Source organism: Homo sapiens, chromosome 15 (assembly GCF_000001405.40).
Source record: "Homo sapiens chromosome 15, GRCh38.p14 Primary Assembly".
In the NCBI taxonomy this organism is placed as follows: Eukaryota; Metazoa; Chordata; class Mammalia; order Primates; family Hominidae; genus Homo; species Homo sapiens.
The window spans coordinates 34,158,300-34,182,400 of NC_000015.10; the positions used below are offsets into that span (position 1 = coordinate 34,158,300).

Below are 24,101 nucleotides of genomic sequence, written 5' to 3' on the forward strand. Positions count from 1 at the left end.
TGGTAACACCCATTTCTCTTCTGAATTTTCTTTGGCCCCTATTTTTATTAATTTCTCTTTTTCAGTGGGAAAGAAGATGGGAACTGCAGTTGGGGGAAGAAGGCAAGGGGTTAAGTGAAAAACAGGCATTTCAGAGGAAATGGCAGCTTGTTTGGCTATTTGATCTGCAAGGTTGTTCCCCCAGCTTTCAAAAGAGATATCTCTTTGATGTCCTGGGACATGGACAACAGCTATTTCTTCTGGCAACTGGAGGTTATCTAATACTTGAGTGATTAATTCTTGTGGACCAGGTCTTGGCCTTTGAAGACCTTGTTTGCTCCAATTTTTTTTTTTTCAAAGGTGTGAGCTACCCAGAAGGCATCTTTGAAATCAATATAAATAGTCCTTTCTTGGCTCTGCAGATGCTTTAAAGGCTTGATTTAATGCAAACAATTTACATGTTTGGGCAGACCAATTACTGAGTAGTATTCCTGACTCTACTTCTGCAAGGAGTTCCCCATTGACTACTGAGTACCCATTATGTCTTTTTCCTTCAATTACCCAGGAAGAGCCATCTATAAATAAGTGCTGCCCCATTTGAAAGGGGTCTTTCTTAAATCAGGTCTGACTTTAGTATGACAATTAAATCTGAACACTCATGCTCAGGTCTCTTTAAATTTGGATTCTCAGTCAGGAAACCTGCTGGGTTAAGCGAATTATCAGTGGTTAGTGTTAAATCAACGCTCTCTAACAGGATAGCTTCGTATTTTAAAATTATTGATTCAATAAGCCACCTTTCTGCCTTCTGATTAAGGATAGTTTTGACTTGGTGAGGTGTACTGACAATGAAGTTCCTTCTAAAAGTTAATTTTTTCTTTTTTTTCTGTTAATAGGGCTGTTGCTGCTACAGATTGAATACATTTAGGCCACCCTCAGATTACAGGGTCAAGAATTTTTGACAAAAAGGCTATGGGCTGCCGGTGGCCCCCGTGTTTTTGAGTGAGTACTCCTAAGGCTACTGTTTTGTTTACATTGACAAAGAGATGAAAAGGCAGTTCTAGGGGAAGGTAAAGCTAGGATGGGGACAGTTACTAGTAACAACAGGGTGGGTGGTTTGGACTATCTGATTAATAGCTCTAAGGTCTTACACTAACTGGTATGACCTGTCTGGCTTCTTTACAGGCAGTATTGGAGTGTTATAGGGAGACATACAGGGTTCAAGAAGCTCATCATGGAGAAGACCTTCAATTATAGGTTTTAAATTTACCCTGGCTTTTAAAGGAATAGGGTGTTGCTTTCTCTTTACATTTCCCTAGGGTTTTTTAATTTTAACATGAATTGGAGGAATCTGTAACCTTCCTTGATTCCCATCTTTTGACCATACCTTGGGATGAATGTGTTCTTTGTCTGTGGTGGTGAGCAAGTTTAGGAAGGGGAGGAATTTTCCATGATTGATTTGGAGGCCTAAGCCTAATTTTAGAATTAATTCTCTTAATAGATTTGTCCCTGCATCCGGAATTAATAAATTTGATACTAGCTGATCAGTTTTTATATTTCACTTGTGTCTCCTCTAAGAGTTTTGCTCTAAACCCTTCTCCTTTTACCCTTGAGATAAAAAGTTCTTCTTGTGAACAAGTTACACTAGATGGAAAGTAACAAACTGAGGAGCGAGCTGCTCCTGAGTTGATTAAAAAGGTAATAAGCTCAAATTTAGGTCCCACTTGTAAATTTATCAAGGGCTGTTGGTGGGACTCAAGATAAAAAAAGATATAGCCCCTGACTTCCCTAGTCTTCCTCAAAAGCTCTAAGTGGCATGACTTTTTCTTCCTTTTCTCATTCGGGACATTTTCTTTTAAAGTGACCTAATTTTCCACATTTGAAACATTCGTTCTGTCCTTTTTTCTTTTCTACCTTTGAGCCTCCTGGCTTTACTCTTTTGTACCCTTCATATTGCCTGGAGAGCGGGGGTCTAGCTTCCTTACAGGTTCTGGCCCCATGGATACTTTGTTGTATGGTGGACAGCAGAATTTTTGCCTTCTGCTTTTCTCTTCATCTCTTCTTACATATACTTTTTGGGCTTCTCTTAGAAGCTCTTCTATAGATCTGCCTTCCCAGTTCTCTATCTTTTGTAATTTCTTGTTAATATCTGGCCAACTATTAGTTACAAAATGAAGCTTTAACATCCTTCATCTGGGGGGGTCTTCTAATTCTAGACCTGCATATTTTCTCATTTGCTCTTTGAGTCTTTTTAGGAATTTTACAGGTCTTTCATCTTTTCCTTGTTATTGAAAGCTTTTGTAATGTTTTGGATGCGGGGTTTAGACTCTTGAATTCTTTTTATTATCATTTCTCTAAAGTCTTTTCATTATTCTTCTAACATTTCAACATTAGGCCTAGGGGACTATCAGGGGGAATATTATTGTTGCTAGCTTTATACTTTTTAATCCCTTACCTTACTTGGGGTATTTCCCATCTTGATGGTTTTGGGGTAAGGCTCAATCTCCCCTACTGGAGATTTCTTGACTTTTGGGGTGAGGCTCAATTTCCCCTACTGGAAATTTTTTGCCTTCCCGACTACTGGAGGTTTGTGTGAGGCTCAATCCCCCCTACTGGAGATTTCATGCCTTCCTTTCCTAGAGGCTCAACACCCCCCTGCTGGAGGCTTCTCACATTCTTCTACTTTCGCTTTATCCTTCTCTGGCTGCTTCCCTAATGGGAATGTCAGATCCCTCTTGGGATTGGCAGGTTGGTATAAACTCCAACCCAGACTCCTTTACAGGAGGGCTGCCCTAAGCTGTATGAGGTGACTACGAAACCACAAATCCGGACTCAACACTCGCTTTGCACTCAGTTGTGCATCTCATTCACACACTTTCAACCTCCAAGATACCCCGACCACCAAGGAAATACTTTGTCACTCTTGTGACGTTTCTTACCTTGGTCTATGCACAGGGTTACCTGGTATGTGATTATTTTTTTTCCCCCAAGTTGTTGGTCTGTTTCTTCCTGCGTTGCTGAGAGTCCGGGTTTATTCATCACACTGGGTGGGCCTCGATTCCTTACACAAGGCCACCGCAATGAGGCTGCAGGGCGTGCCTCCTCATGGGAGAGGACCAGGGACCCTTGCCCAGAGGAGAATGGGAATCCCGGACTGGCCCCCAAATTTGTTAGAAACAAATGCTCAATGCCGCAAAGAAGAATCAGCACTCTGGCAAAAGGCTTTCTCAGCAAGGCAATTTACTTCTGCAGAAGGGTGCCAATCACGCCTGGAGTGGTTGCAAAAGCACACTGGACAAGGGGGAGGAAGGAGTTCTTATCCCTAACGCAGCTAGTCCCTACTGCTATGTTGTTCCCCTATTGGCTAGGGTTGGACCGCACAGTCTAAGCTAATTCTGATAGGCTATTTTAAAGAGAGCAGGGGTATGAGCTGGAGTGGTGGGAGAGCAGTTTCAGCGGGAAGGATGGTTACAGAGCAGGTGACTAAGATGACTGAGGACAGAGCAGGTGACTAAGGATGACTAAGAACTCTAAATATGTGAGTATAAAGGCTAGAAGGGGGTTGTTTACTGGAAACTAGGGGCAAGGAGGCATAAAGAATGAGGAAGTTAAACTTTAAAATGGAGAACAAAATATAAGGAAGCTGAACATACTGACATACTGGTTCTTTGAAGAGGAACTCAGAACTCAATGTACTTAATAATTGAGGCATATTTAAGTTCATTAATAGTTATGTAAATTTTGTGATTGATATCAACAAATCTAAAATTCAACAGATAAGTTTTTCAGATTAATGTTTTCTCTGTTCTAATTCTGTAGTCTGAATCAACATACAACAACATCATATGTAGTTATTTTTGGTAAAGCAACATATCTGATATGGTTTTGCTGTGTCCCCACCCAAATCTCATCTTGAATTATAGCTCCCATAATTGCCAAGTGTTGTGGGAGGGACTCAGTGGGAGATAATTGCATCATGGGGGCGGTTTCCCCAATACTGTTTTTGTGGTAGTGAATAAGTCTCACGAGATCTGATGGTTTTATAAGGGGAAACCCCTTTCAATTGGTTCTCATTCTCTCGTCTGCTGCCACGTATGTAAAATGTGCCTTTTGCCTTCCGACATGATTGTGAGGCCTTTCTAGCCACATGGAACTGTGAGTCCATTAAATCTCTTTTTCTTTAGAGATTACCCAGTCTCAGGTATGTCTTTATCAGCAGCATGAAAACGGAATAATACAACATCCAGCTCCCTATTTTCCACACTTCTAGTTGCAAATTATATTGTAACTTACAGGATGCTTAACAAGTGAGTTAAATTTTAATCTCTTTTCTTGTTGCTGTTGTTGTTTTAGAGATAGGATCTCGCACTGTCACCCAGGCTGAAGTGCAGTGGTATGAACACAGCTCACTGTAGCCTTAACGCCCTGGGCTCAAGTGATCCTCCTACCTCAGCCTCCCCAGTAGCTAGGACCACAGGTGCATGCCACCATGCCTGGCTAGTTGAAAAAAGTTTTTTTGGTAGAGATGGAGTCTCACTATGTTGTCCAGGCTGGGCTTGAACTCCTGGGTTCAAGCAATCCTCCTGCCTCAGCCTCCGAAAGTGCTGGGATTATAGGCATGAGCCACCATGCCTGGCCTAAATGTGGTTTAAAAGAAAGTATACCAGTGCTAATGAACCTTACAATAGTGAACACAAAGCACCTCTGGAATTCCTCTTTAACTAAAATATTTAAATTATATCATATTGAAACAGCATACTGACTAAAAACTTTTTTTTTTTTTTTGATATGGAGTTTTGCTCTTGTCACCCAGGCTAGAATGCAATGGCGCGATCTCAGCTCACTGCAACTTCCACCGCCCGGGTTCAAGTGATTCTCCTCCCTCAGCCTCCCAAGTGGCTGGGATTACAGGCACCCACCACCATGCCCAGATAATTTTTGTATTTTTAGTAGACACAGGGTTTCACCATGTTGGCCAGGCTAGTCTTGAACTCCTGACCTCAGGTGATCCACCCACCTCGGCCTCCCAAAGTGCTGGAATTACAGGCATAAGCCACCATGCCCAGCCCGATTAAAAACCTTTTAGAGCTTATAGAAATAAAATGGTTAAGACCTAACAAAGAAAAAAAAAGAAATACATTGGTTATATTTCACCAATTCAACTTAATTCTGGGAGATTAAGCAGAATTATTATCCTCCCATTGTTTAAACAATTCAACCAGAGATATCTAGAGACCTAACCGTTTAAATTGTCTTATCTGTTTTCTAGAAACCATAGACTTACCTCCTTCATGTTCTTATTAGTGAAATTAGAGATCTTTTTTCTAGGAAGATCAATGAAATGATCCTCAATCTTATTACAAAAGTTCCGTTTTTTAACATTGTGGGTTTCTGATGCCATAATCTCTTAAGTACCTAGACAATAAAATAAAATAGAAAATTAAAACAGCAAAAAGAGTCTGATCATTTTTAACACACACACAAACATACAACAGTAGCACAATGCTATATAAAAAAGGCAGAGGACATCATTTTAATTTACACATTTTTAAAAACCTTAAACATAGAGGAAGCACAAGGCAAGGCATTCCAGGAAATTAAGGATCTTTCTGTCCTCATTCTTTTTTTTTTTTTTGAGATGGAGTTTTGCTCTGTTGCCCAGGCTGGAGTGCGATGGCACGATCTTGGCTCATTGCAACCTCCGCCTCCTGGGTTGAAGCAATTCTCCTGCCTCAGTCTCCCAAGTAGCTGGGATTATAGGCTTGTGCCACCATGCCCGACTAATTTTATATTTTTTCAGTAGAGACGGGGTTTCACCATGTTGTTCAGGCTGATCTCATACTCCTGACCTCAGGTGATCCATCCGCCTCAGCCTCCCTAAATGCTGGGATTACAGGCATGGGCCACTGTGCCCAGCCTGTCCTCATTCTTTAATTGGAACCAGTGACAATAATATTGTATGTATTTTTTTGTGCCAAAGCAACACATCAATCTCCCCATTTTCCATGTCACTAGCCATTTAATAAACACACAGGTTATGAAATAAGGTGTATAAGGTGGTGGTATCTATGACATCCAAATGTACAGAAACCTAAAACTGTGCAACTAAATCACTGGGTCAAAACAACCCTAAGCAATGAGAGGAACCAAAATTGGACTACATACAACTGACTTGTCCTATGCCTAATCCTTAAATTCTTCTTTCATTTTTGCAGACAGCTCTCCAAAGCTCTCCTCTACCTTTGAAAAAAAAAAAAATCAATGCCCTCCTATTTTACTAATTATATCTAAAGAGGGTCTAAAGAGGGCATGTTGATGGAAACAAATGCTATGACTTAATTTATATAACAGAAGAAATTTGTGATTTTCTCACTTGCACTCTGGTTTCACGTTGGAAATTTATTTTAGGTCATGCCCTGAATGTAAGTTGCTCCCTTATTCTTTCTTTAAACATCTACTAAGCATTCACTATAAGCCAGGCCCTGGCGTTAATGTAGATGGTGCTCAGAGATCCTGTTTTAAAGAATCATTTAGGAAACTTTTTGAAAATGGATTTTTGTGGGCTCTAACTTAAGAGACTGTAACTCAGTATAATACTGTCTCTCTCTGCAGTGGAGCCCAAAGCAATTATATTTTTAAAAAGCTCCACAAGTATTTTTGAGGCATATTCTCAATTCTCCAAAAATATGAACATACACATGAAATTTTACAAATAATTTCAGCGAAAGATTTCTTACAGCTAATTAATGGACAACCCTTCCACCTGTATCCCAGGTTAAGAAACCTCTAGAGTGAGATTTTTTGAAAAGTAAATAAATAACTGCAATAATACAATAAGTACTCTGACAGAAGGTTACTCAGACAAATCAGCACACTGACAAACTAGCATGTGCAGAACTGAAAGGCGTGAAGCAACACGGTTTGTTTGGCAATCTCTTAAGTAGACACTTGTGGCTGGAGCTTACATTGGGGGCGACTTAAATGAGGCTAGAGATAGAAGTTAGATCACAAAGGGTCTTGTCCACAATGCTACAATGTGAGATTTTTTTTTTCAAAAAAGGGGACTTTTAGTTTAAAAGAATGGATTGAACACATGCAATTACCTCTACCCTTCCTTGAAACCTGATTAAATGACAATAAAAGGTTTGTAAAGACATAAAACCCATGAGGACAAAGACAGGAGAAGTTCAGGTGATGGCAATAACATTTTGGAAAATGCAAAGCTAAAAGTGGTAACTTGATCAGGTGTGGTGGCTCATGCCTGTAATCCCAGCAAGTTCGGAGGCTGAGGCAGGCGGATCACCTGAGGTCAGGAGTTCAAGACTAGCCTGTCAAACATGGTGAAACCCTGTCTCTACAAAAATACAAACATTAGCAGGGCGTGGTGGTGGGACCTGTAATCCCAGCTACCTGGGAGGTGAGGCAGGAGAATCGCTTGAACCCGGGAGGCTGAGGTTGCAGTGAGCCAAGATCATGCCACTGCACTCCAGCCTGGGTGACAGAGCAAGACTCTGTCTCGAAAAAATAATAATTAGTAATAAATAAATAAATAAAAGTGGTAACTGACTCAGCAGATGTGAGAAAGCCAGATCCTAAATTGGCAATGAGGAAAGCAAAATGCAGAATCCCCTAAACGTTCAGGAACTGGCAATACCAAGGACATCAAGAAGTAGAGATGGCAAGTCCATTCCAAGATGGCCATTATAATAGGAACAGCTCCGGTCTGCAGCTCCCAGGGTGATCAACACAGAAGACGGGTGATTTCTGCATTTCCAACTGAGGTACCTGGTTCATCTCACTGGGACTGGCTGGACAGTGGATGCAGCCTACAGAGGGCGAGCTGAAGCAGGGCAGGGTGTCACCTCACCCGGGAAGCGCTAGGGGTCAGGAGATTTCCCTTTCCTAGCCAAGGGAATACATGACAGACTCTACCTGGAAAAACGGGACACTCTAGCCCAGATACTGCACTTTTCCAATGGTCTTAGCAAATGGCAGACCAGGAGATTCTATCCTATGCCTGGCTCGGCAGGTCCCACGCCCACGGAGCCTTGCTTACTGCCAGCGCAGCAGTCTGAGATAGACCTGCGAAGCAGCAGCCTGGCAGGGGGAGGGGCGTCCGCCACTGCTGAGGCTTGAGTAGGTAAACAAAGTGGCTGGGGGAAGCTCGAACTGGGCAGAGCCCACTGCAGCTCTGCAAGGCTTGCTGCCTCTAACACTCCACCTCTGGGGTCAGGGCATAGCTGAACAAAAGGCAGCAGAAACTTCTGCAGACTTAAACTTCCCAGTCTGATAGCTCTGAAGAGAGCAGTGGTTCTCCCAACACGACGTTTGAGCTCTGAGAATGGACAGACTGCCTCCTCAAGTGGGTCCTTGACCCCTGTGTAGCCTAACTGGGAGACACCTCCTAGTAGAGGCCGACTGACACCTCATACAGGTGGGTTCCCCTCTGGAATGAAGCTTCCAGAGGAAGGATCAGGCAGCAATATTTGCTGTTCTGCAGCCTCTGCTGGTGATACCCAGGCAAACAGGGTGTGGAGTGGACCTCCAGTAAACTCCAACAGACCTGCAGCTGAGGGGCCTGTCTATTAGAAGGAAAACTAACAAACAGAAAGGAATAGCATCAACATCAACAAAAAGGACATCCACACCAAAACCCCATCCGTAAGTCACCAACATCAAACACCAAAGGTAGATAAAACCACAAAGATGGGGAGAAACCAGAGCAGAAAGGCTGAAAATTCAAAAAATCAGAACACCTCTTCTCCACCAAAGGAACACAACTCCTCACCAGCAAGAGAACAAAACTGGATGGAGAATGAGTTTGACAGGTTGACAGAATTAGGCTTCAGAAGGTCGGTAATAACAAACTTCTCCAAGCTAAAGGAGCATGTTCTCACTTGTTGCAAGGAAGCCAAAAACCTTGAAAAAAGGTTAGACAAATGGTTAACTAGAATAACCAGTGTAGAGAAGAACTTAAATGACATCATGGAGCTGAAAATCACAGTACGAGAACTTCATAAAGCATACACAAGCTTTAATAGCTGATTTGATCAAGTGGAAGAAAGGATATAAGTGAATGAAGATCAAATTAATGAAATACAGCAAGAAGACAAGATTAGAGAAAAAAGAGTGAAAAGAAACGAACAAAGCCTCCAAGAAACATGGGACTATGTGAAAAGACCAAATCTATGTTTGATTGTGTACCTGAAAGTGACGGGGAGAATGCAACCAGTCAGAAAACACTCTTCAGGGTATTATTCAGTAGAACTTCCCCAACCTAGCAAGGCAGGCCAACGTTCAAATTCAGGAAATACAGAGAACACCACAAAGATACTCCTCAAGAAGAGCAACCCCAAGACACTTAATTGTCAGACTCACTAAGGTTGAAATGAAGGGAAAAATGTTAAGGGCAGCCAGAGAGAAAGGTCAGGTTACCCACAAAGGGAAGACTAACAGCGCATTTCTCGGCAGAAACCCTACAAGCCAGAAGAGAGTGGGGGCCAATATTCAACATTCTGAAAGAAAAGAATTTTCAACCCAGAATTTCATATCCAGCCAAACTAAGCTTCATAAGTGAAGGAGAAATAAAATCCTTTACAGACAAGCAAATACCAAGAGATTTTGTCACCACCAAGCCTGCCTTACAAGAGCTCCTGAAGGAAGCACTAAACATGGTTACGAACAACCAGTACCAGCCACTGCAAAAATATGCCAAATTGTAAAGACCATCGATGCTATGAAGAAACTGCATCAATTAACAGGTGAAATAACTAGCTAGCATCATAATGACAGGATCAAATTCATACATAACAGCATTAACCTTAAATGTAAATGGGCTAAATGCCCCAATTAAAAGATACAGACTGGCAAATTGGATAAAGAGTCAAGACCTATCGGTGTGCTGTATTCAGGAGACCCATCTCACGTGCAAAGATACACACAGGTTCAAAATAAAGGGATGGAGGAAGATCTTCCAAGTAAATGGAAAGCAAAAAAAAAGCAGGGTTTGCAGTCCTGGTCTCTTATAAACAGACTTTAAGCCAACAAAGATCAAAAGAGACAAAGAAGACCATTATATAATGGTAAAGGAATCAATTCAACAAGAAGAGCTAACTATCTTAAATATATATGCACCCAATACAGGACCACCCAGATTCATAAAGCAAGTCCTTGGAGACCTACAAAGAGACTTAGACTCCCACACAATAACAATGGGAAACTTCAACACTCCACTGTCAATATTAGACAGATCAGTGAGACAGAAGGTTAACAAGGATGCCCAGGATTTGAACTCAGCTCTGCACCAAGCTGACCTAACAGACATCTACAGAACTCTTCACCCCAAATCAACAGAATATACATTCTTCTCAGCACCACATCGCACTTATTCCAAAATTGACCACATAGTTGGAAGTAAAGCACTCCTCAGGAAATGTAAAAGAACAGAAATCACAGCAAACTGCCTCTCAGACCACAGTGCAATCAAATTAGACCTCAGGATTAAGAAACTCACTCAAAACCATACAACTACTTGGAAACTGAACAACCTGCTCCTGAATGACTACTGGGTAAATAATGAAAGAAGGCAGAAATAAAGATGTTTTTTGAAACCAATGAGAACAAAGACACAACGAACCAGAATCTCTGGGACACATTTAAAGCAGTGTGTAGCCGGAAATTTATGGCATTAAATGCCCCCAAGAGAAAGCAGGAAAGATCTACAATCGACATGCTAAAATCACAATCAAAAGAACTAGAGAAGCAAGAGCAAACAAATTCAAAAGGTAGCAGAAGGCAAGAAATAACTAAGATCAGAGCAGAACTGAAGGAGATAGAGACACAAAAACCCTTCAAAAAAAATCAATGAATCCAGGAGCTGGTTTTTTGAAAAGATCAGCAAAATTGATAGACTGCTAGCAAGACTAATAAAGAAGAAAACAGAGAAGAATCAAATAGATGCAATAAAAATTGATAAAGGGGATATCACCACTGATGCCCCAGAAATACAAACTGCCATCAGAGAATACTATAAACACCTCTATGTAAATAAACTAGAAAATCTAGAAGAAATGGATAAATTCCTGGATACGTACACCCTCCCAAGACTAAACCAGGAAGAAGTTCAATTGCTGAATAGACCAATAACAGGCTCTGAAATTGAGGCAATAATTAATAGCCTACCAACCAAAAAAAGTCCAGGACCAAACAGATTCACAGCCGAATTCTACCAGAAGCACAAAGAGGAGCTGGTACCATTCCTTCTGAAACTATTCCATCAATAGAAAAAGAGGGAATCCTCCCTAACTCATTTTATGAGGCCAGCATCATCCTGATACCAAAGCCTGGCAGAGACACAACAAAAAAAGAGAATTTTAGACCAATATCCCTGATGAACACTGATGCGAAAATCTTCAATAAAATACTGGCAAACCGAATCCAGCAGCACATCAAAACCTTATCCACCACGATCAAGTCGGCTTCATCCCTGGGATGCAAGGCTGGTTCAACAGATGCAAATCAGTAAACGTAATCCATCGCATAAACAGAACCAACAACAAAAACCACATGATTATCTCAATAGATGCAGAAAAGGCCTTTGACAACATTCAACAGCCCTTCATGCTAAAAACTCTCAATAAACTAGGTACTGAAGAATCATATCTCAAAATAATAAGAGCTATTTATGACAATCCCACAGCCAATCTCATACTGAATGGGCAAAAACTGGAAGCATTCCCTTTGAAAACTGGCACAAGACACGGATGCCCTCTCTCACCACTCCTATTCAACACAGTGTTGGAAGTTCTGGCCAGGGCAATCAGGCAAGAGAAAGAAATAAAGGGTATTCAATTAGGAAAAGAGGAAGTCAAATTGTCCCTGTTTGCAGATGACATGATTGTATATTTAGAAAACCCCATCATCTCAGCCCAAAATCTCCTTAAGCTGATAGGCAACTTCAGCAAAGTCTCAGGACACAAAATCAATGTGCAAAAATCAAAAGCATTCCTATATACCAATAACAGACAAACAGAGCCAAATCATGAGTGAACTCCCATTCACAATTGCTACAAAGAGAATAAAATACCTAGGAATCCAACTTACAAGGGATGTGAAGGACCTCTTCAAGGAGAACTACAAACCACTGCTCAATGAAATGAAAGAGGACACAAACAAATGGAAGAACATTCCATGCTCATGGATAGGAAGAATCAATATCGTGAAAATGGCCATACTGCCCAAGGTAATTTATAGATTCAACGTCATCCCCATCAAGCTACCAATGACTTTCTTGGAAGAATTGGAAAAAACTACTTTAAAGTTCATATGGAACCAAAAAAGAGCCTGCATTGCCAAGACAATCCTAAGCAAAAAGAACAAAGCTGGAGGCATCATGCTACCTGACTTCAAACTATACTACAAGGCTACAGTAACGAAAACAGCATGGTACTGGTACCAAAACAGATATATAGACCAATGGAACAGAACAGAGACCTCAGAAATAACACCACACATCTACAACCATCTGATCTTTGACAAACCTGACAACAAGCAATGGGGAAAGGATTCCCTATTTCATAAACGGTGCTGGGAAAACTGGCTAGCCATATGTAGAAAGCTGAAACTGGATCCCTTCCTTACACCTTATACAACAATTAATTCAAGATGGATTAAAGACTTAAATCTTAGATGCCAAATCATAAAAACCCTAGAAGAAAACCTAGACAATACCATTCAGGACACAGACATCGGCAAGGACTTCATGACTAAAACACCAAAAGCAATGGCAACAAAAGCCAAAATAGACAAATGGGATCTAATTAAACTAAAGAGCTTCTGCACAGCAAAAGAAACTACCATCAGAGTGAACAGGCAGCCTATAGAACGGGAGAAAATTTTTGCAATCTACCCATCTGACAAAGGGCTAATATCCAAAATCTACAAAGAACTTAAACAAATTGTCAAGAAAAAAACAAACAACCCAATCAAAACGTGGGCAAAGGATATGAACAGACACATCTCAAAAGAAGACATTTATGCAGCCAACAGACATATGAAAAAATGCTCATCATCACTGGTCATCAGAGAAATGCAAATCAAAACCACAATGAGATACCGTCTCATGCCAGTTAGAATGGTGATCATTAAAAAGTCAGGCAACAACAGATGCTGGAGAGGATGTGGAGAAACAAGAACACTTTTACACTGTTGGTGGGAATGTAAATTGGTTCAACCATTGTGGAAGACAGTGTGGTGATTCCTCAAGGATCTAGAACTAGAAATACCATTTGGCCCAGTGATCCCATTACTGGGTATATACCCAAAGGATTATAAATCATGCTACTATAAAGACACATGAACATGTATGTTTATTGCAGCACTATTCACAGTAGCAAAGACTTGGAACCAACGCAAATGTCCATCAATGATAAACTGGATTAAGAAAATGTGGCACATATATATCATGGAATACTACGCAGCCATAAAAAAGGATGAGTTCACGTCCTTAACAGGGATATGAATGAAGCTGGAAACGATCATTTTCAGCAAACTATCACAAGGGCAGAAAACCAAACACCATATGTTCTCACTCACAGGTGGGAACTGAACAATGAGAACACTTGGACACAGGGCGGGGAACATCACACACCAGGGCCTGTCATGGGGTGGGGGGTGGGGGAGGGACAGCATTAGAAATACCTAATGTAAATGACAAGCTGACAGGTGCAGCAAACCAACATGGCACATGTATACCTATGTAACAAACCTGCATGTTGTGCACATGTACCCTGGCACTTAAAGAATAAAAAATAAATAAAGAAATAAAAGAAGTGGAGATAAAGGTAACCCTAAGAACAAGTAGATAGATTGAATATCCATTTAAGACACAGTTGGCTCACTAGATCCTCTTTCTCATTCCAGTAAAAAAACGAGTTTTATTCTCTAGAAAACGTAAAACAGAGTCCTTGGGAGGAACATATTCTTTTTTTTTTTTTTTTTTGAGATGGAGTCTCACTCTATTGCCCAGGCTGAAGTCCAGTGGCACGATCTCGGCTCACTGCAACCTCTGCCTCCCAGGCTCAAGTGATTCTCCTGCCTCAGCCTCCTGAGTACCTGGGATTACGGGCTCCCGTCACCATGCCTGGCTAATTTCTGTATTTTTAGTAGAGATGGGGTTTCACCATATTGGCCAGGCTGGTCTCAAACTCCTGACTTCAAGTGATCCACCCACCTTGGCCTATCCAAGTGTTGGGATTACAGGTGTAAGCCACTGCACCCAGCCTAGGAACATATTCTAAAAAGGGGGATGATCAAGTGAAAGTTTACATACTAAATGTTGAGACCGCTAATCTTTCTGCTTCTTGCCTCACAGAGGCTTGCAACCAGGCTTATACACTCCAGGGAAGAGTACAGAGGATACTTTCTTAGGAATTCTGACTAATCTTGTAACACACAGACACACAGACACATAGACACACAGACACAGACACACACACACACACACACACACACACACACACACGCTTCTCTCTAAAATACTAACATCAATGGTGGTCTGTTTCCAAAGAACTGTATGTCAACTAAGGTGGTAGTTACCTAATTATCAAAACTAATAGAGCTATACACTAAAAAGGGTGAATTTTTATTGTATGTAAATTGTACTTTGATAAACCTACTTCTAAAAAATATTTTAAAGAATTGCATCTATAAAACAAAAATGGGACAAAAAACCCAACAAAAATACTCTTAAAAATTAAAAATAGGACATAATAAAGATAGTAAAAAACTCAACAGAAGTTGGAAGAGAAACCTGAAGCTATCTCCCAGAACATAGGAAGAAAAAAAAAACCAGAAGACTGGTTTAGAGGGACCAACATCCAAATAAAAAGAATTTTAGAAAGAGTACAAGACAGTAAAAGAGAAATCAAACAAAGAGATAATTTAAGAAAACTGTACAAGGTTGAAGGACATAAATTTCTAGATGGAAAGTGTATCATAATGGATGAAAACAGACCTACAAGGTACATCATTGCTACATTTCACAGTAGTAGGGAAGCTAGAGAAGGTGAAAATATACAAACAAATAAAAAATAAATCCTAAAATCCAAACTTGGTCATGTAAAAATGACAGATACAGAGTAAAGCCTTCAAAATTCTCAGGCAACCTAAAATTTTATATCCAGCCAAATTATCAAGTGTGAGGGTAAGAGAAACGTATCTTCAGATACACAGAGTTCCCAAAAATTTCTTCACAGTAAGCAATAAGAGAAGGATAAACCAAAAAAAAGAAAGATAAGAAATGGAAATCCAACAGGATATATGGAAGGTATTTCCCAGGATGATTATGAAAGAAGGTCCCAAGATGAAGGCTGTGCACCAGAAGTAGAGGAAAACTGGTATACATCGGAGCACATAAGGAAAAAAGTATCCACAAAAATGAAATTAATTTATAATAACTACTTGGTGTTCATTAGAGAGGAGATGGAGACAACTGGGGAATAGTTAGAAGGAATGGCACATTTTTCAAGTGCTATAAGAAAAGAAGTGTCAACCCAGAATCCTATGTTCAGTAAAAATATCCTTCAGGAATGAAAAGAAAACTGACAATCTCAGATGAAAGAAAATTAAGAGAATTTGTTACCAGCAGATCTACCCTAAAAGAATGACTACAGGAAGTTCTCTTTAGCCAAACAAAACAAATGAACAAACAAACAAACAAATGATGAAAGAAGGCATCTAGGAACACCAGGGAGACAGAAAATGGTGAGCAAAAATATAAGAAAATGCAATAGACTTTCATTCTTGAGTTTTCCAAATTATGTTTAATTGTTGAAGTAAAAATTATAACACTATCTGATGTTGTTCAAAATACAGGTAAAGAAACTAAGACTTTTATAGGATAAGTGGTGGAGGTTAAAGGGACATAAAAAGAGGTAAGATTTCTACATTTCACTCAAACTGGTAAAATGACCACATAAGTAGACTGTGATATGTATAATGTAATAACTAGAGCTATCACTGAATTATCAAGAATTATACTCAAAAACACTATAGGGAAATCAAAATGGAATGAGAAACGTGTTTACGTAACCTGGAGAAAGGCAAACAAAACAAAATAACAAACCAACAAATAAAACCAGGGAAACCAAAGAACAGAGAGAACAGAAAACAAAAAATAAACTGATAGACTTAAGCTCTGACATACTGATAACTGTATTATATGTAAATGGTCTAAAAGTCATTTAGTTAATTAAAAGCCAGAGATTGATGGAGTAAATTCAGAAACATGACCTAATTATACGTTGTCCACAAGAAACTCACTTCAAAAATAATGATGTAGGCATGCAGAAAGTAAAAGGAAGGGGGGAAAAAAGTATCATGCAAATACTAACTTTTTTTTTTTTCTTAATTCGCTTTGTCGCCCAGGTTGGAGTGAGTGGTGCGATCTCAGCTTACTGCAACCTCCGCCTCTCGCATTCAAGCGATTCTCCTGCCTGGATGGGACTATAGGTGCCTGCCATCACACCCAGCTAATTTTTCTATTTTTAGTCGAGATGGGGTTTCGCCACGTTAGCTAGGCTGGTCTTGAACTCCTGACCCCAAGTGATCCACCCACCTCAGCCTCCCAAAGTGCCGGGATTACAGGTATGAGCCACTGCGACTGGCCACAAATATTAACTTTTAAAAAGCAGGCCAGGTTGGTGGCTCATGCCTGTAATCCCAGCACTGTGGTAGGCTGACGAGGCAGGAGGATTGCCTGAGTGCAGGAGTTCAAGACCAGCCAGGGCAACATACTAAGATTCCATTACAATAAAAATAATACAAATGTAAAATAAGCAACACACACACACACACACACACACACACACACACACACACACACGCATATATAATATATATGTACATACAGGTTGAGTATCCCTTACCTGAAATCATGAAATGCTTGGAAGCAGAAGTGTTTTGGATCTTTTATTTTTTCAGATTTTGAAATATGTCCATTATATACTTACTGGTTACACACCCCAAATCCCAAATCCCAAATGCTTCAATAAGCATTCCGTTTGAGTGCTCAAAAAATTTCAGTGCTCAAAAAGCCTTGGATTTTGGACCATTTCAGATTTGGATTTTTAGATTTGGAATACTCAACCTGTATGTGTTTTTAAAGAATCTATAAAATCATTTTTTTCTCTAGATGACAACGTACATAGTCTGCACCCTTTCATATGGGAGACATGTTTATTTCTTCAGAGGCTAAAACAGTTTTCTAAAACTTTTTAAGAATGAAGGACTTGACACCATTAGTCATTATAAAATGCAAGTCGAAACTACTTGCAAACCTGTTGCACAAGCAATGAAATAAAACTTCGTAACCATTAGAATGGCTATACTAAAAAAGACAGACAATAACAATGTTGAGAAAGATGTGGAAGAACTGGATCCCTCACGCATTACTACGGGAATGTAAAAATACATTCAAACTTTGGAAAATGTATTTTCCAAATATTACTTGAACCCGGGAGGCGGAGGTTGCAGTGAGCCCAGATCACGCCATTGCACTCCAGCCTGGGTGAGAAAATGGCAGTTTCTTAAAATACTAAATACAGATTTATCATATGATCCAGCAACTCTACTCCTACATAAAAATGCAGAAGAAACAAAAACATATGTCCTGACAAAGATATGTATGCAAATGTTATAACCTTATTCACAATAGCCAAAAAGCAAAAAACAACCCAAATGTCCATCAACTGCTGAATGAATAAACGAAATGTGGTGTATCTGTATGGAATTTTATTCAGCATCAAAAAGGAATGAAGTGGCCAGGCGTGGTGGCTCACGCCTGTAATACCAACACTTTGGGAGGCGGAGGTGGGCAGGTCACCTGAGGTCAGGAGTTCGAAACCAGCCTGGCCAACATGGTGAAACCCCGTCTCAACTAAAAACAGAAAAAAAATAAGCTGGGCGTGGTGGCAGGCGCCTGTAATCCTAGCTACTTGGGAGGCTGAGGCAGGATAATTACTTGAACCCGGGAGGCGGAGTTTGCAGTGAGCCCAGATCACGCCATTGCACTCCAGCCTGGGTAAGAAGAGTGAAACTTCATCTCAAAAAAAAAAAGTAGTACCAATACATATACAACATGTTTGAATACTATGTTAAGTGAAAGAAGCCAAACATGAAAGACCACATATTATATGATTCAATTTAAATGAAAATGTCTATAAAAATAAAATTTATAGAGATAGAAAGCAGACTCGTGGTTGTCTTAGGCTAGGATGGGAGTGGGAATAATTGTATATATAGGCACAAGGTTTCTTTTTGGGATGATGGAAATGTTCTATAATTATACTGGGGTTGACAACTGCACAATTCTGTGTACACTTACAATATACTTACAATCAGTAAATTGTACATTTTGGTATGTACATTTAAGACAGGTGAATTTTATGGTATATAAATTATACTTCAATAAAGCTTTAAAGGGAGTGAAGGAAATCATAATTGTAATGGTAAAGTCTCATTGCAAAGGATTTATACACTACAAATTCCATTTTGTTTCATGTCTCATATATTTGACAGCACCTTTGTTGGGGCAACAATACAGGATTATCCCTTTTCCACCAAGAGCATTTGACAATGTAACTAAAACTACTTTAAAGCAATGGTCAGGCCTCTATGCGCTTTTGAAGTGCTATTTGATAATACACAAAAAAGTGAAGAATCTGAAATGGTATTAAGGGTTGAAGACAGTGATTATAGAAACTGGCAATTATCATTGCCTTTTAATGAAAAAAAGGAACAAAAGAAATAAGGTCTTAAGAGAATAAAAGATTGAGAAGAGGCCAATACACTAACTGTATATAACTATCCTGAACATTGGATATAGTGCATATTTTCTTAAAGACAATACAGTGTTTGCTAATACCCTTAGTGTATTGTCCTAAGAAGGTAGAAAAACAGAAGCATGTAGAAGGAATTGGAGGGATAAATTCTCTTTACATAGTAGCTGTCACCTACCAGAAAAATGAAAAGGGATCTTTCTATATAATCTACTACAATGGCTGCCAAATCAAAGGATTAAACAGCTCTAGGCTGGGAGCGGTGGCTCACACATGTAATCCCAGCACTTTGGGCGGCCGAGGTGGGTGGATCATTTGAGGTCAGGAGTTTGAGATGAGCCTGACCAACATAGTGAAATCCACTCTCTACTAAAAATATAAAACTAGCTGAGCATGGTGGTACACGCCTGTAATCCCAGCTACTTGGGAGGCTGAGGCAGGAGAATCACTTGAGCCCGCGAGGCAGAGGTTGCAGCGAGCCACTGTACTCCAGCCTGGGTGACAAGAGCAAAACTCTGTCTTAAAAAAAAAAAGGATTAAACAGCTCGAAGTGTTCACATACTCCACATCTACTTAAAATAATGAGAAAAACTCATCATACAGGAATGGAACACATCTAGACTTTTGTTTGTAACACCTTAAGTTATAGCTCAAGATCAAGTTAAGCTTTCTTTTTCCATTAATATACTACAATATATTTATCACTTACATTGTATTTAACTCTGTAATTTTACGAGGCAATTTCATTCCTCCTCTTGAAAATCAAAGCATAGTTGTGTACAAAGAAACTTTCTCCTCCAGTTACTACTACACAGTCATTCCCACTATGGCAAAGGGTATGTGTAGTTATCTCTCAAGAATCTTGAAGGTGAAAACAGTTTATAACCACTATAATACAATACATAAATAAGAAATAAAAGGGTTTTAGAACGTAAAAGCTTTAGTCTATTTTTTTTAACCCAGAGATGTCAAGTAACTAACCCAAAGACAGTTAATAGCAGATCACAGGACGTAGAATACATGCCATTCAACCACATTTCTATTTTCGTTAATTGAATTCAATTTGTTCTCAACTGGAATAAACATTTTCAATCCGAATAACCAACTTTAAACAGCGTATTGAAGCCAAATAAGATGACAGTACTAATTTTTCTGAGGAGATAACAACAGGTGGACAGGTGAACATAAGCTATAAGCTATCTACCATCCTTCCTTCATCTAACATGGGTAACCTTTTCCTCTCTTTTCTAAGGCCCACCAGGAGATTCATGGGGCCTTATCACAAGTTTTCCCATGAGGCAGCTACCATGTAAAAAATGAAAGGGAAGGGTGAACATGAACTTTTTTCTTCAAGAATTTCAATGGGCCGGGCGTGGTGGCTCTCACCTGTAATCTCAGCACTTTGGGAGGCCAAGGAGGGCAGATCACGAGGTCAGGAGATCGAGACCATCCTGGCTAACCCGGTGAAACCCTGTCTCTACTAAAAATACAAAAATTAGCCAGGTGTGGTGGTGGGCACTTGTAGTCCCAGCTACTTGGGAGGCTGAGGCAGGAGAATGGCATGAACCCAGGAGGCGGAGCTTGCAGTGAGCTGAGATCGTGCCACTGCACTCCAGCCTGGGCGACAGAGCAAGACTCTGTCTCAAAAAAAAAAAAAAAAAAAAAAGGATTTCACTGAAGGAGAGAAGAAGAGAAGGTAAACATGAGATTTTTCTGGGATAATCTTTAGGGCCTGTACGTACTGATTCCTTCCTCCTTTCCTCCTAAATTCAGTTGCCAGACTCTCAATATGTGCAGTATTTCCATAACCACAGTATTATCTGTAGTTATGTTTCAAAATGCAATACAGATCAGGTTAAAAAAAGAAGGTGATAAGAATGGATCTAAGAAAGCCAAGGCTGATCTCAATGGGACTGGTGCTTACAATGGAATATTAAAAAGACTATTTTCAAAGGCTGTTTTGTGAAGTGAAGCCAAGTCCAAAAATAATGGTTGTCTTAGCTCGTTTTGTGCTACTACAACAGAATAGCTGAGACTGGGTAATTTATAAAGAACAGAGGTTTATTTTGTTTAGTTCTAGAGGCTTGGAAGTCCAAGACTGAGGGGCCCATATCTAGCAAGGGCCTTTTTGCTTCCTCATCCCATGGTGGAAGGTAGAAGGGTAAGTGGGCAAAACAGAAAGCAAAAGGGCCAAAGTTACTTTTATAACAAACCCACTTTAACAATAATGAACCTGCTCCTATGATAAAAATATTAATCTATTCATGACAGAGCCCTCATGACCTAATCATCTCTTAACAGTCCCACCTCTCAACACTGTCACATAGGGGATTAAGTTTCCAACACGTGAACTCTGGAGCGCACATTGAAACCATAGCAATGGTATTTTTTTTTGTTTGTTTTTTAAGAGATAAAGTCTCATAGGTTGCCCAGGCTGGCCTCAAACTCCCGGACTCAAGAGATTCTCCCACTTCAGCCTCCAGAATAGCCAAGACTATAGGCACACAACATCCCACCTGGCAAGCAACAGTATTTTAAAAAGCAGAATAGAAAACTAAATGCATAGTAAGATCCAGGTTTTTCAAAAGAGATATAGGTAAGATCTATCCAATCAAAAAAGGTCTATCAAAACATTAACAGAAATTATTTATTGTTGGTGGGATTATGGGTGCTCCCCCCCACCATCACTTAACATGTTTTTCTATTTTCTACAACAAACACGAATTATTTTTATAATCTGAAGAAATAAATATTTTAACTTAATGAGATCACTATCTTATAAAACATGGCTTAATCGTATAACTCCCTTATAGTAAACAAGCAAAAAAGGTGGAAATGCCAATACATGGAGGTAATATTTCATAAGAAGAATCTATTTTAACTTTTCCAAAATTAGGACAGCTTCATCTAATTTTCTCAGTTCTTGCTTTCTCACCTCAATTTGGACTTTGCTCCCACAAACCCTTTTTAAAAATCTTTGATTTCTCCCTTTGAACTTATTCCTCCCTTCTGCTTTCAAACATGATCAGATTTCCGTGATCAACTCCTATACTCTTTCTCTGCTTCCCTTTCCTGCCAAATTTCTACAATGAGTGCTTTTTAGCTTCCATTTTCTCTTTAACTCTTTGTAATCTTGCTTTTATTTTGCTCTCTCATCTGAAAAAAAAAATGCGTCTTGAATTAAACCTATATAGGAGCCTTTATAGCACTGATGATGCTCATCAAAGTCAGCCAAGCCAACTCTAAAGACATTGCTCATTCTTCATCACCATTTAGCTCTTTCGTCACTTCAGGGCCCTTCCCTGACTCTTTCTGTTCATACGACACAGTTGTCCTGACTCTCCTTGTTCCCTTACCATTTTTCTGGTTCCTTTTCCTCCAGCAGCTCCTCTCTCTACTGAAATTGAAGAAATATGCTTTCATGGCTTCAGTTATTTCTCTCGACCCAGGTCTTCTTTAATTTCTTTGTATTTGGCTCCTCGGTCAGCCACTGCTAGGTCCAAGTCAACACATCTAAATCTCTTCAATGTCAAACCAACTTGCTGCCCTTCCTAGCTATCACATTTGAAATGACTGGCAAAATTCTCTCAGACTGGAAACATGGGAGTTATTTTGACTCCTTTCTCCTTCCTTCTAACAAATCACCAAGTTTTCTCAAATCTTCTTTCAGGCAGGGCACAGTGGCTCACACCTGTAATCCCAGCACTTTGGGAGGCTGAGGCGGGAGGGTCACTTGAGCCCAGGAGTTCGATACCAGCCTAGGCAACATAGTGAGACCCGTCTCCAAAAAAAACCAAACCAAAGCAAAACAAACAAAAAACCTTCCTTCAAAATATTTCACAGATCCATTCAGATCTTCCTTCTTCCACTGTCAGAACTATAGCCCCATAACTTCAAGCCTAAATCACCATAACAATTATTTGATTTTCCTGCCACCAGTCTTCTCCTGGTCCTTGCAAATCATCCTATACAAGTGTTACCTATAGTGTTCATGGTAAAATACTACTACAGAATTTCCAAAGTAGTGCTGTAGATTTTAATGGATGCTGTATGGTGTTCAAGTACATTTGGATATGCTGCACGTTAAACTATTTCCTGGAATTTAAATATATTAAAAAGGCCCTAAGAAGTTGGCACAATTTTAATCCATGATTCCCAGACTTAGCCATCATCCTATCTTATTTTTATTTTAGAAGATACATAAAAAATTTGAAAAATGTAGATTTCCAAGAAACATAGTTTTTGGAACTGATTTGCTACACCAAGACTAAACTATTTATCTAAATATCGAAGACATACTCTCGTTTCTCTTCAGATCGTATTAATCTTTCACCTCTTAAATACTGAAGGTCTTCATAATTAGAGACATTACTATTAAAAATTAATAATTAATTTTTTAAATTAGAAGGGAGAAAACACAAAACATTCCAGCATATACATATATATGTCCATATATATATCCATATATATACATATATATACACATATATATGTCCATATATATACACATATATATGTCCATATATATACACATATATATGTCCATATATATATCCATATATATACACATATATATGTCCATATATATATCCATATATATGGACATATATATGTCCATATATACACATATATATGTCCATATATATATCCATATATATACACATATATATGTCCATATATATATCCATATATATACATATATACATGTCCATATATATCCATATATATACACATATATATAGTCCATATATATATATCCATATATATATATATATATGGATGGGGAGGAGAAAGGGTTTTGCTGGGGAAAGATTCCACTACGATAGTGTTAACAGTATCATTAAAAATAACAGATAGACTTTATCAAAAATTTACCATATGCCAGGTGTAGGCACTGAAGACATATTATCCTCTTTCTATAGGTAAGAAAATAAAGGCATAAAAAGATTAAATAATTTGCCCGAGATTAAACAACGAAAACAAGTAAGAGTCTGCACTGGAACCCAGGTGTTCTGTATCCATTGCCTATATTCTTAACGAATACACTGTAATGCCTCCCAATTAATATGAGAGATTAAGGGCTGAATGTATAAACAGATGATACAGTTTTCATCACTTTCTAGCTCATGATTTTTGGCAGATCATTTATTCTATTCTAAATCTGTTTTCTCAAATGCAAAATGAGAATATTGTGAAAATCAAAATGAGATTACACGTAAGTTATTACTGCTATTATCACCAATAATACTTATAAGAAATATAAACATATACAATTACGGTGTTCTGGAA

General features: G+C 39.2%; 1 protein-coding gene across 11 annotated transcripts in view; it reads right to left on the reverse strand.

The window, feature by feature from the left end:
* Window positions 1–24,101, reverse strand: part of KATNBL1 (katanin regulatory subunit B1 like 1) — a 69,423-nt gene that overhangs the window by 17,626 nt on the left and 27,696 nt on the right. For 4 of the 11 annotated variants that reach the window (XM_017022575.3, NM_024713.3, XM_017022574.2 and 1 more), the window contains one exon: window positions 5,261–5,391. In XM_017022575.3, the coding sequence (XP_016878064.1) occupies window positions 5,261–5,377 (117 nt within the window). In that variant the 5' untranslated portion in view covers window positions 5,378–5,391. Of the gene's footprint in view, window positions 1–5,260; window positions 5,392–19,521; window positions 19,701–22,168; window positions 23,252–23,687; window positions 23,729–24,101 lie in introns of those variants that run through there. The other 7 variants (XM_047433041.1, XM_017022571.3, XM_047433040.1 and 4 more) reach the window with 4 other exon arrangements.